The following is a 16,841-nucleotide window of genomic DNA, read 5'->3' on the forward strand; positions in this document are numbered from 1 at the left end:
ACTCCCCAGTCCCCATGGAGGACGGCGCTCCCCTCCTAGGGAAACCCAGTGCCTGCAGCCCAGCAGAGGCCACTCCGTGATGAAATGAGGCAAGCTCGCGGGCACCCCTTCCAGGTTTAAATGCTGGCTGTGCCGTGCAGCAGCTGTGTGACCCTGGGAAAGTCATTTCATCTCTCTGAGCCTCGTTCCCCTCATCTATAAAATATAATTACTTGTGCAAATGACTTGGCATGGGGAGCCCGGCACATAAAAAGCACTCAGTAAATATTAGCCCACAAGATTATTGTAGGAGAGAAAGGGACATGGGTTGATAGAGCAAATCTGACAGGGCAATTGTCCTCAAGGGTATTCTCCAATAGAGCATAATAATTATTATTTTTTGAGACAGATTCTTGCTCTGTCACCCAGGCTGGAGTGCAGTGGCGCGATCTCGGCTCACTGCAGCCTCCATCTCCCAGGTTCAAGCGATTCTCCTGTCTCAGCCTCCCAAGTAGCTGGGATTACAGGCACGTGCCACCATGCCTGGCTAATTTTTGTATTTTTAGTAGAGATGGGGTTTCACCATGTTGGCCAGGCTGGTCTCGAACTCCTGACCTCAAGTGATCTGCCAACCTCGGCCTCCCAAAGTGCTGGGATTACAGGTGTGAGCCACCACGCCCGGCCCAATAGAACATAATTATGTTTTTCTTTGGTATGGTCTTAATTTTAGAATATTGAGAAAAGCACAGAGAAGCAAATGACAAGTATGCACAGCTCTGTCACCTGGAGACAACCGTGATTAACTTGTAATGTCCTTACTGGTTCTAGTAGATGTTCTTTGGTGTCTGCACATTCAAGGGTTAGATATTTATTGTAGTCTTTGCTATCTGGGCTTATTTGTAGTCCTCTGTTTTGGGAAGGCTTTCCAGTTATTTGAAAGGATTTGGGTGTTGTGATCTAAGCTGTTTCTGCTTTAGGGGGCACCTCAAGCCCAGTAACGCCGTCATTCTTGCAGACTTAGTACAGGTATGGGTTTGATGGTCTTGGAGAAGATCTAGGAGCATTCTCTGGTTTACCAGGCAGAGACCCTTGTTCTCTTCCCTTACTTTCTCCCAAAGAGTCTCTCTCTCTCTCTGTCTCTGTTTGGAACCACCTAAAGCTGGGGGTGGAATGACACAATCACCCCTGTAGCCACCACCACTGTGACTGTGCTGGGCCAGACCTGAAGCCAGCACAGCACTGGGTCTTGCCCAAGTCCTGCTGTAACCACTCCCTGGCAACTGCCTATGTTTGCTCAAGGCCATGGGGCTCTGCAATTAGCTGGTAGCAAAACCAGCCAGGCCTGTGTCCTTCCCTGCAGGGTGGTGAGTTCCCCCAGGCCCTGGGTGAGTCCAGAAGAGCCGTCTGGGAGTCAGGGACTACAGCCAAAAACCTTAGATGCCTACCTGGTGTTCTGTTGTATTGTGGCTGAGCTGGCACTCAAATTACAAGACACAGTCCTTTCCACTCTTCCCTCCCCTTTCCTTCTAGTTCTTTCACTCACTGACTTTATAAAAAGGAGAATATGTCCAACACATTGTTTCATTACCTAGTATAGTTCCTTTAATGACACATAACAAACATCTTTTAACATAACCGTTACGTGTTTCTTCTGTAACCGTAATTTTAAACATCTACACAGGATTTCATTGAACAGTAACTTTAGTCCCTGCTTCCTGAACACCGAGGTGCTCAATAACTTACATACATTACCTCCCTGAGGTCTCTTGGAGGTAGGTATGGTTGCTGCCATCTTATAGATGGGGAAGCTGAGGCTGAGACATGCAAAGCCACAGCCTGGGTTCACACAGCTGGTCAGAGACAGGATCAGGATTCAAGCCCAGGTGTGTTTACCACCAAAGCCAAAGGACTTCCATTGCGGAGGAAGGCTGGCTGCCCCAGAGGAGGCTACAGCATGTAATAGGAGGTCTTCTCCTGTAGCTCTGTGAACACTGTGAGCCAGCTCAGGCAAGAATCTGCCCCCCAAAAAGATACCCAAATGGCCAATAGGACATATGAAAAGGCAGTCAGCCACACTAGCAGTCTAGACAATGCAAATTAGAACCACAAGGTGATGGATACCACTACCCACCCACAAGAATGGCTAAAAGGAAAAAGACAGGTAATATGAAGTATTGGAGATGCTCACATACCACTGGTGCAAGTGTCAATTGGCACAACCACTTTGGAAAACTGCTTGGCAGTATCTATTAAAGTTGCACATGTGTATAACTTACCACCCCAGAAATGCACATTTATGTACTCCAAAATGCATGTTTGTGGCATTAAAATGTTCATGGCAGCACCATTTGTCATAACCCCAAATTGGAAACTACTCAGATGTCCATTAGCAATAGGATTGGGTAAATCCTCATTGCATGAATATACTAGGCAGCAGTGAGAATGAACTATTGTTGAATGCAACAATATGAATGAATCTCAAAATATATTGAGTGAGAGAAGCTAGACTTAAAAGACACATAGTGTATGATTTTATTATATGGAGTCTAAGAACAGGCAAAAGTCGTATGTGGTGCTAGAAGTCAGGATGGTTGGCTCTTGTTCCTTGATCTGGATGCTGGTTACATGGGTGCATTCATTTCATGGCAATTCATCAAGCTGTAGGTTCGTATGTTTTTGATTGAAGCATTACCTACACTTTTTTGAGTGGGGCTCTGCAATTAGCAGGTAGCAAAACCAGCCAGGCCTGTGTCCTTCCCTGCAGGGTGGTGTACACTTTTTTGAGTGTAGGTAATGCTTCAATCAAAATTTACATTAGGCCAGTTGCGGTGGCTCACGCCTGTAAGCCCAGCACTTTGGGAGGCCAAGACAGGCAGATCACTTGAGCCCAGGTGTTTGAGACCAACCTGGCCACCATAGTGAAACCCCATCCCTACTAAAAATACAAAAATTAGCTGGGCACAGTGATGCACACCTATAGTCCCAGCTACTTGGGAGGCTGAGGCATGAGAATCACTTGAACCCAGGAGGCACAGGTTGCAGTGAGCCAAGATCAAGCCAGTGCACTCCAGCCTGGGTGACAAAGCGAGACTCTGTCTCAAAAAAAAAAAAATTACATTAGAAGTTGGGTATGGTAGTGTGCACCTGTAGTTCCAGCTACTTGGCAGGCTGAAGCCGGAGGGTCACTTGAGTCCAGGAATTCAAGGCCAGCCTGGAATAGCAAGACCTTGCCACTTTAAAAAAATCACAGAGGGGCTGGGCGCAATGGCTCATGCCTGTAACCCAGCACTTTGGGAGGCCGAGGCGGGTGGATCACCTGAGGTCAGGAGTTCAAGACCAGCCTGTCCAACATGGAACAGTTGGCCCAACATGGGCCAATAAATATCCCATGTATATTTTTAGTCTCTACTAAAAATACAAACAATTAGCTAGGCGTGGTGGCAGACGCCTGTGATCCCAGCTACTCGGGGGGCTGAGGCAGGAGAATTGCTTGAACCCAGGAGGCGGAGGTTGCAGTGAGCCAAGATTGTGCCATTGCACTCCAGCATGGGCTACAAGAGCGAAACTCCGCCTCAAAAAAAAAAAAAAGAAAGAAAATCAGTAAGTGTCTGCCAAGAAACCGCTGACTATACATTTTTCCCTTCTCCCACCATACCCAGAGCTCCGACCAGCCAGCCTGGTGGTCCTGCCCAGGTCCCTTGCTCCAGCTTTTGAAAGATTCTGCCAGGTCAACACTGGTCCTCTACCCCTGCTGGGCCAGAGTGAGCCAGAAAAGTGGATGCTGCCCCCTCAAGGTGCTATCTCAGAGACCAGGTAAAAAGCTTGGGTTACTGTGGGTTGAAGCTTGGGAGTGTCCAGGTGCTGTAGCCAGGTGTCTCTGTCATCCGGGACCTCTCTGTCCAGCCTCAGGGACCTTCACAGTGCCTGGCACAGAACCTCACTCATGACTGTTGCTCAGGAACGAGCTGCCCTCCCCACTGTTCTGACTCCTTCCCCTATCACCTGGCGCCTGTCCTGGCTGAGATCTTTGAGATCATGGAGAAAGTCCAGCCCTGGAGAAATCCCACTGGCTCTGCCATCTGTCCACTCCATCGCCCAAGCCAGAAACCCGCCTGTACAGGATTAAGAAGAAAATAAAAAACACTTGCATTACCAACACCCAGAGACAGAGATATTGTGTCTGTTCTCCCAGGCTTTTAAACTAGAACCTATCTAGTAAATGGCCCTACTGATGCTGGGTCGGTGTACCTCTCCCACGAGTCTACCTTTCCTATGGCACCAGCACAGACTGGCATCTTCCCTGGCCTAGCCCTAGTCTCATCCTTTCTTCCCCAACCCTGTCATCATCTGCTTTCCCAGCAGAGTGACTTTCTAATGCTAAACCCGATCATGTGGCTCTCCTCTTAAAACTCCTTCAGACTGGGTGCTGTGGTTCATGCCTGTAATCCCAGTACTTCGGGAGGCTGAGGCAGGAGGATGGCTTGAGCCCAGGAGTTTGAGACCAGCCTGGGCAACATAGGGAAGACCTGGTCTCTACAAATTTTTTTTTTAAAAATTAACTGGGCATAGCGGTGCACACCTGTGGTCCCAGCTACTCGGGAGGCTGAGGAGGATTGCTTGAGACCAGGAGGTTGAGGCTGCGGTGAGCCGAGATCATGTCACTGCACTCCAGCCTGGGCAACAGGGCAAGACCCTGTCTAAAATATATATATATAAAATAAAATAAAATTCTTCAGCATCTTCTTATGGCTTGGACCTCAGCCTGATCTCAAGCCCATGGTGACCTGGCCCCAGCTCAGTTTCTCCCCTGACCCCTGACACTCCAGTCATCCCCAGCCAGTTCCCGAGACAGAAAACCCCCCAGGAACATTCTGTCATGATCATTTTAGGACGGGAAGGTCCTTTGGAGACCCCATCTGGGCCCATGATTGTACCTTTACATTTTTCCCCGGTGCCTCCTGTGCTGCCAACTTGGAAACTCCTGGAGCCCATCCCCCAGTGGGCTTTCCACGTGCTGCTTCCTCTGCCTGGGTATGCCTTCTTCCTTGCCCAACTGGCAAACTCCTATTCATGCCTCAAGACCCAGCACCAAACTCCTCTGTGGAAGAGAATTGATTTCTTCCTTCTCTGTGTCACTCTACCTAGACGGTTGACATTCCTTGCTGTGTATTGCCAGTATGTGTTTTCAGTGAAGTCTCACCTATCAATTAGGGTTACGAGCTCTTTAAATGCTGGGATGGGATGGGCGCGGTGGCTCACGCCTGTAATCCCAGCACTTTGGGAGGCCAAGGAGAGCAGATCACCTGAGATCAGGAATTCGAGACCAGCCTGGCCAACGCGGTGAAACGCTGTCTCTACTAAAAATACAGAAATTAGCCGGGCATGGTGGTTCGGGCCTATGATCTCAGCTATTTGGGAGGCTGAGGTGGGAGAATCACTTGAACCTGGGAGGCAGAGGTTGCAGTGAGCCGAGGTTGCACCACTGCACTCCAGGCTGGGCAACAGAGCAAGACTCTGTCTCAAAAAAAAAATAAATAAATAAAAAACATTAAAAAAAGAAAAAAAGACTGGGACAGTGTCCTCTCCATTACTCTAGCCCCATCGCCCAGCATGTGCCCGGCATGAAGGCATGGCTCAGTAAAAGAGTTTGGAGTGGGTAAAGAATAAGCTTGTAACCAAAGAAGTCTTTCAACCCTACAGAAGAGTTTCCTTTAAGGGAAGAGAAAGGCCTCACCCACTACTGGCACTGAGAGGTTCCCCAAGACACATATTCTCTGTCCCCTTTGGGCTACTGGTCCTACCTCTATAGCAGAGAGGCCACCATTTACTTTTCTTCTTCTTCTTTTTTTTTTTTTTTCTTTGAGGCAGTCTCACTCTGTTGCCCAGGCTGGAGTAGTGCAGTGGCACGATCTCGGCTCACTACAACCTCCACCTCCCAGGTTCAAGCGATTCTCCTGCTTCAGCCTCCTGAGTAGCTGAGATTACAGCTGTGTACCACCATGCCTGGCTAGTTTTTGTATTTTTAGTATAGACGGGGTTTCACCTTGTTGCCCAGGCTTGTCTTGAACTCCGGAGTTCAAGTGATCTGCCCGCCTCGGCCTCCCAAAGTGCTGGGATTACAGTCATGAGCCACCGTGCCTGGCCACCATTTACTTTTCTCGGTGGTTTGGCTTGTTTTGGCTTGCGGGTATAGGAGACACACTGGGTGGGAGGTGGGGGTACGTTCTATACGTGCTGATTTAATCGTTTCCGATCTGGGGACATTTGAAGGATGCCAGCAAGGCCCCCTGCTGAAAACTATGCTCCCTACCCTGGTGCCAGGGCTGAAAATTTCAGCACTAGACATCCTCTTCTCTCTCCGCAGTCCTTCTATAATGTATTATCAGGGGCCACAGTGAGAGTCTGGGGCCCTCCCAGCTTTCCCCTTATGTCCCCAGGATGGGCCATCCCCAGTTCTGGAAATACGAGTTCGGTGCCTGCACCGGCAGCCTGGCTTCGCTGGAGCAGTACTCGGAGCAGCTGAAGGACATGGTGGCCTTCTTCCTGGGCTGCAGCTTCTCCCTGGAGGAGGCCTTGGAGAAAGCGGGGCTCCCCAGAAGAGACCCAGCAGGTCACAGCCAGGCGGGTGCATACAAGGTAGGGACACAGCCCACAGCCCACAAGGGCAGAATGGCCTGAAGATGCAGATCAACTTACATATTCCTGGGGTGGGGAGAACATGGGCACGGGAGGTGGAAAACCTAAGCTCCAGCCCCAGCTCAGCCATTTCTAGCTGTGCAACCCAGGAGAAATGATCAATCTCTCTGAGCCAGCCTCGGTCCCACTCACCTCTGGGACCACTGTGAGCACCCAGTGTGGCCCTTCTTCATGGTTCAGTGCTGTAAACCAAACCTGCTTGGGATTTCTCTGGCTCCTTTAACTTCAGGCACCTCAGCGAGATTTTTAAAAATCCTCCCTGGCTCCGGTGAGCCTCAGCCAGGGGGAATGAGCCTGGCTCTCTCAATACCCAGGGATTTGTGGCAGAGCCTCGGCCAGGCAGTAGCTCCTGGGTCAGGTCTCTGTCCAGAAAGCTGGGTCATGTTCTTGGCCGGAGGTGGCCTCTGGCAGTCACAAACACAGCACAGCCGGCGTCTCTGGGACGTGCCTGCTGTGCCTCTCCCAGCCCCTACTTGTCAAGGTGAGTGCACTCGATTCCCTGGTTCCACAGACCCTTCCTGGACATCTGTTGGTAAAGTCTGAGAGTTCACTCTGCTCCATCAGTGGTCAGCCAGCATAAACAGCCAGGCTCCAGGTTTCTTTATTTATGGAGGACTTGGATCAGAGATTTTGTCTTGGACTCTGGGACATTTATTAAAATGTCTTGGTTTGGGCTCCTGCCAGAGAGGCCCCAGCTGCCTCTGATCAGCAACAAAGCTGCCCATAGTCTGTGCTGCCTTCATGGGTGAAGTGTGCCCGAGCGGTTCTCTTGAAGCTAGGGAAGGGTGGGGATGGGACCCCAGCCACTGGCAGGCACCCATGGCAGTCTCTGGCTCTGGAACACAGCACCCTTTGTAGGAGGTGGGAGCTGAGAGGGCCCCATGGCTCGTCACATGCAGATTCTCATTTTAGATGAGGAAACCGAGGTCTAAAGAGAGAAAAGGACTTGCCCAAGTCCCAAAGCCAGATGGGAACCTGGAACCCCTGGCTCCCATCTGTACAATGTCAATAACAGAGATGTGACAATTAAATGATGCTTTGCAGTCACAGGGTCTGCTGATATGGCAACTGTTTGTTGCCTACAAAGGTGCAAGTAAGTGTCCACAGTAAGTGCTCAACAGGGCTTCACTGACCCCGATGCTTATCAAATAGCTTTCAGTCTAATATCGACACCTCTGCCCCTGGGCTCCAGGGAGAGATGGCCAGACAGCCATCTGGGATTCCATTGGCCACCCCCAGACGGGATGTGTCTCAGCCTTGGGGAGGGCTGCCTGGCTCTGCCAGTGGCTCCAGCATGTCCCCTCTCCTGGGTGCTATTATGCAGACACTGCTGGCAGCCACACCGAGGTTCCATCCTGCTGCCGCCAGGGTGGTGATAGCAAGCTCTTTAGGTGGTGGCCAAGACTGTCACAGTGGATTATAGTCCTGGCCATGTCCTAAATCTTTCATAAGCTCTATTGCAGGCACCAGAAACCATTCAGGAGGTGGGGTGGGGGAGCGAAACACCAATAAAAGTCACACAGATCAAACCGGGCAACATCTGTTAAGGCAGGAGGCACCAGGCCGTGCTCCATGGGGTCTGGGGACAGGCTTGTTGCTTGTGTGGATTCAGGAGGCAGAGTGAACACCAGCTCCTCCTGTGATGTTCTCCCTTGCCTCCCTCTGCCCGTGATTCACCAGAGGCTGTTTACCTTTGGTCCATGGCCCTTGCAGTCCCTAGAGAAATTCAGAGGCTCCATGATATTGGATGGGAAAAAAAGTACGTTTTTCTTTTCCCTTCTTCCCTCCCTCCCTTCTTTATTTTATTTTATTTTTATTTTTATTTTTGACAGTTCTTGCTCAGTTGCCCAGGCTGGAGTGGTGCAGTGGCACAGTCACAGCTCACTGCAGCCTCAACCTCCTGGGTTCAAGAGATCCTCCCATCTCAGCCTCCCGAGTAGCTGGGACCATAGGCATGTGCCAGCACACCCAGCTAATTTATGGTTTTGGTTTTTTTTGGTAGAGACAGGGTTTCGCTGTATTGCCCAGGCTGGTCTTGAACTTCTGGGCTCAAGCGATCCAACCTTCTTGGCCTCCCAAAGTGCTGGTATTACAGGCATGAACCACTGTGCCCAGCCTCAATTTTATTTTCATAACCTCAACTCACATTTAGCATTTCCTTCAATTATGAATGTAGGCAGCAAATGGCTGTCATATCAGCAGACCCTGTGACTTCATGGCTGGCAACAGAAATCACAGATATCTTCATATCACGTTAGAGTTCTTCCTGATGTCTCAAAAATATCCTATATGCTGATCACTACTTCAAAGTTACAATGATAGTAGAACTGGCATCTTGTTTCTTAGGCTGCTACTGAGGAAGCATGCATATTGTCTCACATTTTTCCTTTTTTTTTTTTCTTTGAGATGGAGTCTTGCTCTGTCACCCAGGCCGGAGTGCAATGGTGTGATTTCGGCTCACTGCAATCTCCGCCTCCTGGGTTCAAGCCGTTCTCCTGCCTCAGCCTCCCGAGTAGCTGGGACTAGAGGCGCGTGCCACCATGCCCGGCGAACTTTTGTATTTTTAATAGAGATGGGGTTTCACCATGCTGGCCAGGCTGGTCTCGAACTCCTGACCTCGTGATCCGCCCACCTCGGCCTCCCAAGTGCTGGGATTACAGGTGTGAGCCATCGTGTCTGGCCACATTTTTCTATTATTTGATAACTGTGCTTGCAGGATAATTGGTTTCCTTTGGAATCCTGTGCATTTTCTTGTATGCAGTTAAAGGCATTACTTTGACCAGGGGTCCACAGCTGTACTAGTCTACCAAAGGGGTCCGTGGCACACAAAAAGTTAAGATTCCCTATTTTAAACCAGTAATTAACAGCAAACTCCCTCTCTCTATGTCACATAAAAATAGAAGCTAATTTCTATAACAGCTACTCCTCCTTCATTTAGCTGCCTTGAACTCTTGGTGCTCAGAGCTTGGATCTGTGCTAATTCCATTTTTTAACATTTTCACTTGATTTTTTTTTTTTTTTGGTCAGACAACAGTGCCTTGTGTTACCCATGCTGGCTTCTGCTGCCCTCTGGTGGTCACGATGAGGCCCATTCCCAAGGACAAGCTGGAAGGGCTGGTGCGGGCCTGCTGCTCCCTCGGAGGTGAGCAGGGGCAACCTGTTCACATGGGCGACCCAGGTCAGTGTCTCTCGCTCCTGCCCATGATCTTCCTGTTCACATGGGCAACCCAGGTCAGTGTCTCTCGCTCCTGCCCATGATCCCCCTGTTCACATCGGCGACCCAGGTCAGTGTCTCTCGCTCCTGCCCATGATCCTGACAGCCTCTCTTGGAGTTGGGCCTAAGAAGCAGACAGGAGTTTGCCACGTTCCTAAGCTCCCATGGCTTGTCTTTGTTTTTACCAGGGGTCTCCAGGGGCAAAGGCCCTGAACAAGGCTCAAAGGCTCTGGCAGCTGTATCAGGGCTGGGCTTACAGATGCCCCTCAGGTTTAAAGGTGCCACCCTTGGCAGAATAGCCAGTCTCACTGTGATGTAAGTTTATATATATCACATCCTTTTGGGTTTTTACCGAGGCTTAATAATACATACATAGGAAAAAATATATATATATATAATGAATATATATATTGGGTTTTGTCCACAATTCCTGGCTCATAACTCCTAAAATTCTTGGAACCTCCAAAATGCTGTATTTTGTCTGATAGGTTCAGGGTGGGGCTGGTCACCAGAAAGACTAAGGTAGGATTAGAGGGTTGGGACTTTCAGCTCCACCCCTCCCCGCAACCTCCAGGGAGGAAAGAGGGGCTAAAGGTCAAGCTGATTACCCACGGCTGATGGTTTAATCAATCATGCTCATGTAATGAAGCCTCCGTAAAACCCCAAGAGGATAGGCTTCAGTGAGCTTCTACATAGCTGAACACATGTAGGTTCCTAGAGGGTGGTGCCTAAGGAGGGCATGGAAGCTCCGCACCCCTTCCCCCACACCTTGCCCTGGGCATCTCTATCTGTATCCTTTGCAATATCCTTTATTTAATTTAATTAAATTAATTAATTTATTTATTTTTGAGACACAGTTTCCCTCTGTCGCCCAGGCTGGAGTGCAGCGTTGCAATCTCAGCTCACTGCAACCTCCATCTCCTGGGTTCAAGCGATTCTCCTGCCTCAGCCTCCCAAGTAGCTGGGATTACAGGTGCCCAACACCATGCCCAGCTAATTTTTGTATTTTTAGTAGAGATGGGGTTTTGCCATGTTGGCCAGGCTGGTCTTGAACGCCTGGCCTCAAGTGGTCTGCCCGTCTTGGCCTCCCAAAGTGCTGGGATTACAGGTATGAGCCACCGCACCCGGTCTGCAATATTTTTTATGATAAACTGGTATACATAAGTAAATGTTTCCTCAAGGTCTGTGAGCTGCTCCAGGAAATTAATCAAACTCAAAGAGTTTGGGTATAATCAAACCCAAAGAGGGTTAATCAAACTGGAAGCCAGTTGGTCAGAAGTTCTGGAGGCCCAGACTTGCAACTGGTGTCTGTAGGGGGGTGGCCTTGGGGACTGAGCCCTCAACCCGTGGGTTCTGATGCTATCTCCAGGTGGAATGGAATTGGAGGGCACCCAGCTGGTGCCTCCTGCTTGATGGTGGGGAGAAACCCCTACAAATTTGGTCACAGGAGTCTTCTGTGTGGATGACTGTTACTGCGGTGTGAGAGCAGAGGAAACACACCATTTAGGTAGAGTTTTTTTCTCTACACGCTCACCCACTGGGGATCTTTGATAAATGTAAAGCTCCTATGAACTTCCAATGAATCTGGGGTTGGAGGAAGCCAAGGGTTGCAGCAGGGCTCTTTGTCCGGAGATTTGAGCTCGAAGCAACGTCTAATCTGGGCTGCTATTCTTTGGTATATTTGGGTAGGAGATGGCTTTGTTCCATATGTTAATTTGAGCTGAAATCCATTGATCCCCAGCGTATTCACTCAATCTGAGAGTGAGTGAACAGATCCAAGATGAAGAGCCAATATCAAGAAGCTGTGCAGGCCTCTTAGAAGGCCTGATGAGAGTTTGAGACTGGGCCTTGGTTGAGGGTCCAAGTTTGGTATACCTAAACTTGCTCAACTGCATAACCGACAACATTAGACAGAACCTAGCCTTTTGTGAAAATGCAGTCAGTACTTGCTAGCTTCATCACATGAGGATGATTCAGGGCCACCCACCAGGATGGTGTCTGCTGAGGAGTTTTATCATTAGCGGGGATGGATTGGGCCCAGCACATCCATCTTTGCTGTCTTCGGGATTAGGTTGCTGCTGGTAGTCAAGCAGCTGAGGTTAGGTGCATGAGATGTGACCCAGCCTGGACCAAGGTCAACCCCCCAAGGCTGGCTTTGGTAGCAATCTGCACAATGAGAGTACTAGGCTCAATGCACCCAAGGATCCTTCCAGAAATCACGCCACACAGTTTGAGATTCTGTTTTCTGAAACCACCATGCCACATGGACTGTAAATTATGGAGTAGCCTGAGTTGTCAAAGCCTTAATCCCTATTCTCCTTCACCTCTTCCTCAAATACCATTTACAATAATCCTGCAATTTGAGTTTCTGTTTTAGAGAAAGAACCATAAACTACTCAACCAGTTCTAATTGGATGCTCCCTGCTGAGGAAATTACATTTTCCTTTTCCATCTGCAGAACTGTTGGGAATCAAAGAGCTTTCCAAACCTGCCTACGGGGATGCCATGGTGTGTCCCCCAGGGGAGGTTCCAGTGTTCTGGCCTTCTCCGCTGACCAGTCTCGGAGCTGTCAGCAGCTGTGGTACGTTGGGGGATAATGGGACAATCGATCTGCCCTAGGATGGAGCCCAGTGGGGTCTAGTTCTTGAAAGCATATTCTCGTAGTACAATGATTTAAAAATAAAGCCATGAAACAAAACACAAAACAGAGGCCTACAGCTACAGTGAATCTCTCTCTGGTTTCCTTCTTTTATTTATTTATTTTTTTTTGAGACAGGGTCTCACTCTGTTGCCAGGCTAGAGTGCTGTGGTGCAATCTCGGTTCACTGCAACCTCCAGCTCCCTGGTTCAAGCGATTTTTCAGTCTCAGCCTCCTGAGTAGCTGGGATTACAGGCATGTGCCACCATGCCCAGCTAATTTTTGTATTTTTAGTAGAGACGGGGTTTCACCATGTTGGCCAGGATGGTCTCAATCTCCTGACCTCGTGGTCTGCCCACCTTTGCCTCCCACAGTGCTGGGATTACAGGCGTGAGTCATCGCGCCTGGCCTGGTTTCCTTCTTTTAATCCCAGGGCTGGATCTCCTTACCAGAGCACTTTGTCTTACAACTCAATTTTTTTGTCGTTGGTTTTTTGGTTTTGTTGAGACACAGTCTCACTCTGTCGCCCAGGCTGGAGTGCAGTGGCACGATCTCGGCTCACTGCAAGCTCCGCCTCCTGGGCTCCAGCGAGGGAGGTGTGCCTCAGCCTCCCAAGTAGCTGGAATTACAGGTGCATGCCACCACACCTGGCTAATTTTTGTATTTTTAGTAGAGACGAGGTTTTGCCATGTTGGCCACGCTGGTCTTGAACTCCTGGCCTCAAGTGATCCTCCCACCTCAGCCTCCCAAAGTGCTTGGATTGCAGGCATGAGCCACCGTGTCCAGCCTCAAATATGTTTTGATTAAATATATTTCCTTCCTTCCTTCCCTTCTTCTTTCTTCTTTCTCTCTCTCTCCCTTCCTTCTTGTCTTGTCTTTCTTTCTTTCTCTTTCTTTCTTTCTTTCACAGAGTCTCACTCTATTGCCAAGGCTTGAGTTCAGTGGCATCATCATAGCTCACTGCAGCCTCAAACCTCTGGGGTCAAGTGATCCTCCCATCTCAGCTTCCCAGGTAGCTGGGACTACAGGCATACGCCGCCATACCAAACCAATTTTTAGAAATTTTTTGTAGAGATGGGGTCTTGTTACAATGTCCAGGCTGGTCTCAAAGTTCTGGGCTCAAGTGATTCTCCTGCCCCAGCCTCCTGAGTCATAGGGATAACAGCATGAGCCATTGCTTCAGCCGTTTTGATTAAATATATATTTTTATCTGCTGAAGCATCCCAGCCCATTCTAGCAGGAGGACTAACCTTTAGCTTGGCTTTTTGAGACATTTTGGAGATTGATGGGGCCTTGAAAACAAAGGTGAAGCCAAGAAATATAACTAAACAAGTCATTTCCTGTGGTATTTGCAAGGTGATTATAAACAAGGCCAGCAGCAGTACATTTTTTCCAAGGCCTAGGTGATATTACAATGAAGAGACACACGAGGGCGCCCTCGCTAGCTCTCAGTAAGATAGGAAGGTGACAGAAACATGAAAAATAACAGCTATTGCAGACCATGGTCATGGACACTGGAAAATTCTGGCCAGGCCAGCCACACTTGCGCTGTAAGCACATACTGTAGTGTTACTTTAATTTATTTTGAAAGCATTCGTGAGAGTTCAGCTATCAGAATGGCCTCATGCGAGGGAAAGATCATCCCTAATGTGGTGATGAGGCGTGGCTGCCAAGATCCACAGGATTCCATTTGTTCATTTATTTAAGTGCATGTGTTGAGAACCTGCTATGTGCCAGGCATGCACCCAGGCCTCAGGAGTACAGTGCTCCATGGGACAGGATGGAGTCCTCTGGGCGCTCATGGTCTTGTCTGAGTGTGTGTGTGGGCATGTGTGTAGACACACCCACCCACGTGCAGTAAACGTCCCCCAGCCCAGTGGCCTCACCGCTTTCCCACCATCGGTCGTGGCAGGTGCCCTGCAGAGGAGATCTCACTGCTGTGGGCACCCCAGCATGGCATGTTCCAGTCCTTTAGTTCTGACAGCGATAGCACAATTGATCGTAGATGAGAACAAATGACATCAGAGAGGGACAATCTTGAATCATTCTCAAATTCCCTTTTTTTTTTTTTGAGACAAGGTCTCGCTCTGTCACCCAGGCTGAGTGCAGTGGCACGATCACAGCTCACTGTAGCCTTGACCTCCTAGGCTCAAGCAATCCTCCCACCTGAGCCTCTGGAGTAGCTGGACTACAGGTATGCACCATCATGTCCAGCTAATTTTTAAATTTTTGTGGAGATGGGGTCTCACTATGTTGCCCAAGCTGGTCTTGAACTCCTGGGCTCAAGCGATCCTCCCACCTCAGCCTCCCAAAGTGCTGGGATTATAGTCGTGAGCCACCATGCCTACCTTGAACTTCAATATTTAAACTTCTATTAGCAATAGATTATGTGCAACAGACCTCACAACTGATGGGGGCAAAACCCCGTGTCATGCTCTGAGCTGACTGTTCTGACATCTACCTGGTTTTGGAGTGACCAGTTTTAGGTGCCATCCAAAACACAGACAAGCGATAATTAAATTCATCATCAGATTCAAGACTTTTTCCCCTTACACATCAAATCTAAAAGTTATGTATCTATTAGATTTTTATTTTGAAGTGCTGGCTGACTCTTTCTATTAAATATGAAACTTTAAGCCAAGTGTGGTGGCTTACGCCTGTAATCCCAGCACTTTGGGAGGCTGAGGTGGTCGGATCACTTGAGGTCAGGAGTTCAAGACCATCTTGGCCAACATGGTAAAACCCTGTCTCTACTAAAAATACAAAAATTAGCCAGGCGTGATGGCACACACCTATAATCCCAGCTACTTGGGAGGCTGAGAATTGCTTGAACCCCAGAGGCGGAGGTTGCAGCGAGCTGAGATCTCACCACTGCACTCCAGCCTGGGTGATAGAGCGAGACTCTGTCTCAAAAAAAAAAGAAACTTTATTGTTTCTGTGAAATCCAAGATTTATTTACTCAATTCACATCTGCATTTGTTGAACACCTATTATGCGCAAGGCCCTCTGTGGGATCCTGAGATGAATGAGCAATGGTCGCTCTTCTCCAGGAGCATACAACTGAGTAGAGATGAATACTCAAAGATAGTAATGACACTGAGGAAGGCAGAAGAGGTAAATAGTATGGTATTAAGCACTTAATGAGCTAGGCATAAGGAACTAAGAATGAGTAAGATACTACGTGGTTCAGGCCAGGCTCTGTGGCTCATGCCTGTAATCCCAGCACTGTGGTAGGCTGAGGCAGGAGGATTGCTTGAGCCCAGGAGTTTGAGGCCGCAGTGAGCTGTGTTGCACCACTGTACTCCAGCCTGGGCAACAGAGCAAGGCCTTATCTCTTTAAAAATATATATAGATGAGGCTGGGTGCGGTGGCTCACGCCTGTAATCCCAGCACTCTGGGAGGCTGAGACAGGAGGATCACCTGAGGTCAGGAGTTCGAGCCAGCCTAGCCAACATGGCAAAACCCTGTCTCTACTAAAAATACAAAAATTAGCCGGGTGTAGTGGTGCACGCCTATAATCCCAGCTACTCAGGAGGCTGAGACAGGAGAATTTCTTGAACCCGGGAGGCAGAGGTTGCAGTGAGCCGAGATCGCACCACTGCACTCCAACCTGGGCGACAGAGCAAGGTTCCGTCTCCAAAAAAAAAAAAATATATGCTTGTTCAATTAAGCAAACCATCGAGGGCTTACTCTGAAACAAGCACTTTGCTGAACACTTTCTTAAAAATTTATTTTTTTTTTTTACATTTTTAAACCACGAGTATGCTAAACACTTTTTTTTTTTTTTTTTTTTTTTGAGATAAGGTCTTGCTCTGTTGCCTAGGCTGGAGTGCAGTGACGTGTTCTCAGCTCACTGCAGCCTCTGCCTCCCAGGTTCAAGCAATTCTCCCACCTCAGCCTCCCAAGTAGCTGGGATTACAGGCGCACCACCAAGCTGGGCTAATTTTTGTATTTTTAATAGAGACAGGGTTTCACTATGTTGCCCAGGCTGGTCTTGAACTCCTGACCTCAGGTGATCCACCCTCCTTGGCCTCCCAAAGTATTGGGATTACAGCCGTGAGCCACTGCGCCCTGCCTGCTAAACACTTTTATGTACGTTTTCCAGTTTCGTTCTGACAATAGCCATATGAGGCATTATCATTACAGTCAAAGAAACAGGTTTAAAGAATAAAGTCGGGCTGGGCGTGGTGGCTCACACCTGTAATCCCAGCACTTTGGGAGGTCAAGAGGGGAAGATCACCTGAGGTCAGGAGTTTGAGACCAGCCTGGATAACATGGTAAAACACTGTCTCTACTAAAAATACTAAAATTAGC

The 16,841-nt window shown here is 48.8% G+C and overlaps 1 protein-coding gene across 12 annotated transcripts in view; it reads left to right on the forward strand.

Annotated features, from left to right (window-relative positions):
- The window catches only part of DGLUCY (D-glutamate cyclase), a 165,300-nt gene that overhangs the window by 103,254 nt on the left and 45,205 nt on the right, over window positions 1–16,841 (forward strand). For 5 of the 12 annotated variants that reach the window (NM_001358312.2, NM_001358310.2, NM_001286470.2 and 2 more), the window contains 4 exons: window positions 3,639–3,792; window positions 6,417–6,615; window positions 9,703–9,853; window positions 12,348–12,470. In NM_001358312.2, coding sequence (NP_001345241.1) covers window positions 3,639–3,792; window positions 6,417–6,615; window positions 9,703–9,853; window positions 12,348–12,470 — 627 coding nt within the window. Of the gene's footprint in view, window positions 1–3,638; window positions 3,793–3,882; window positions 4,138–6,416; window positions 6,616–9,702; window positions 9,854–12,347; window positions 12,471–16,841 lie in introns of those variants that run through there. The other 7 variants (NM_001358311.2, NM_001102366.3, NM_024952.8 and 4 more) reach the window with 3 other exon arrangements.

The sequence above is a fragment of the Homo sapiens genome, chromosome 14, assembly GCF_000001405.40.
Source record: "Homo sapiens chromosome 14, GRCh38.p14 Primary Assembly".
In the NCBI taxonomy this organism is placed as follows: domain Eukaryota; kingdom Metazoa; phylum Chordata; class Mammalia; order Primates; family Hominidae; genus Homo; species Homo sapiens.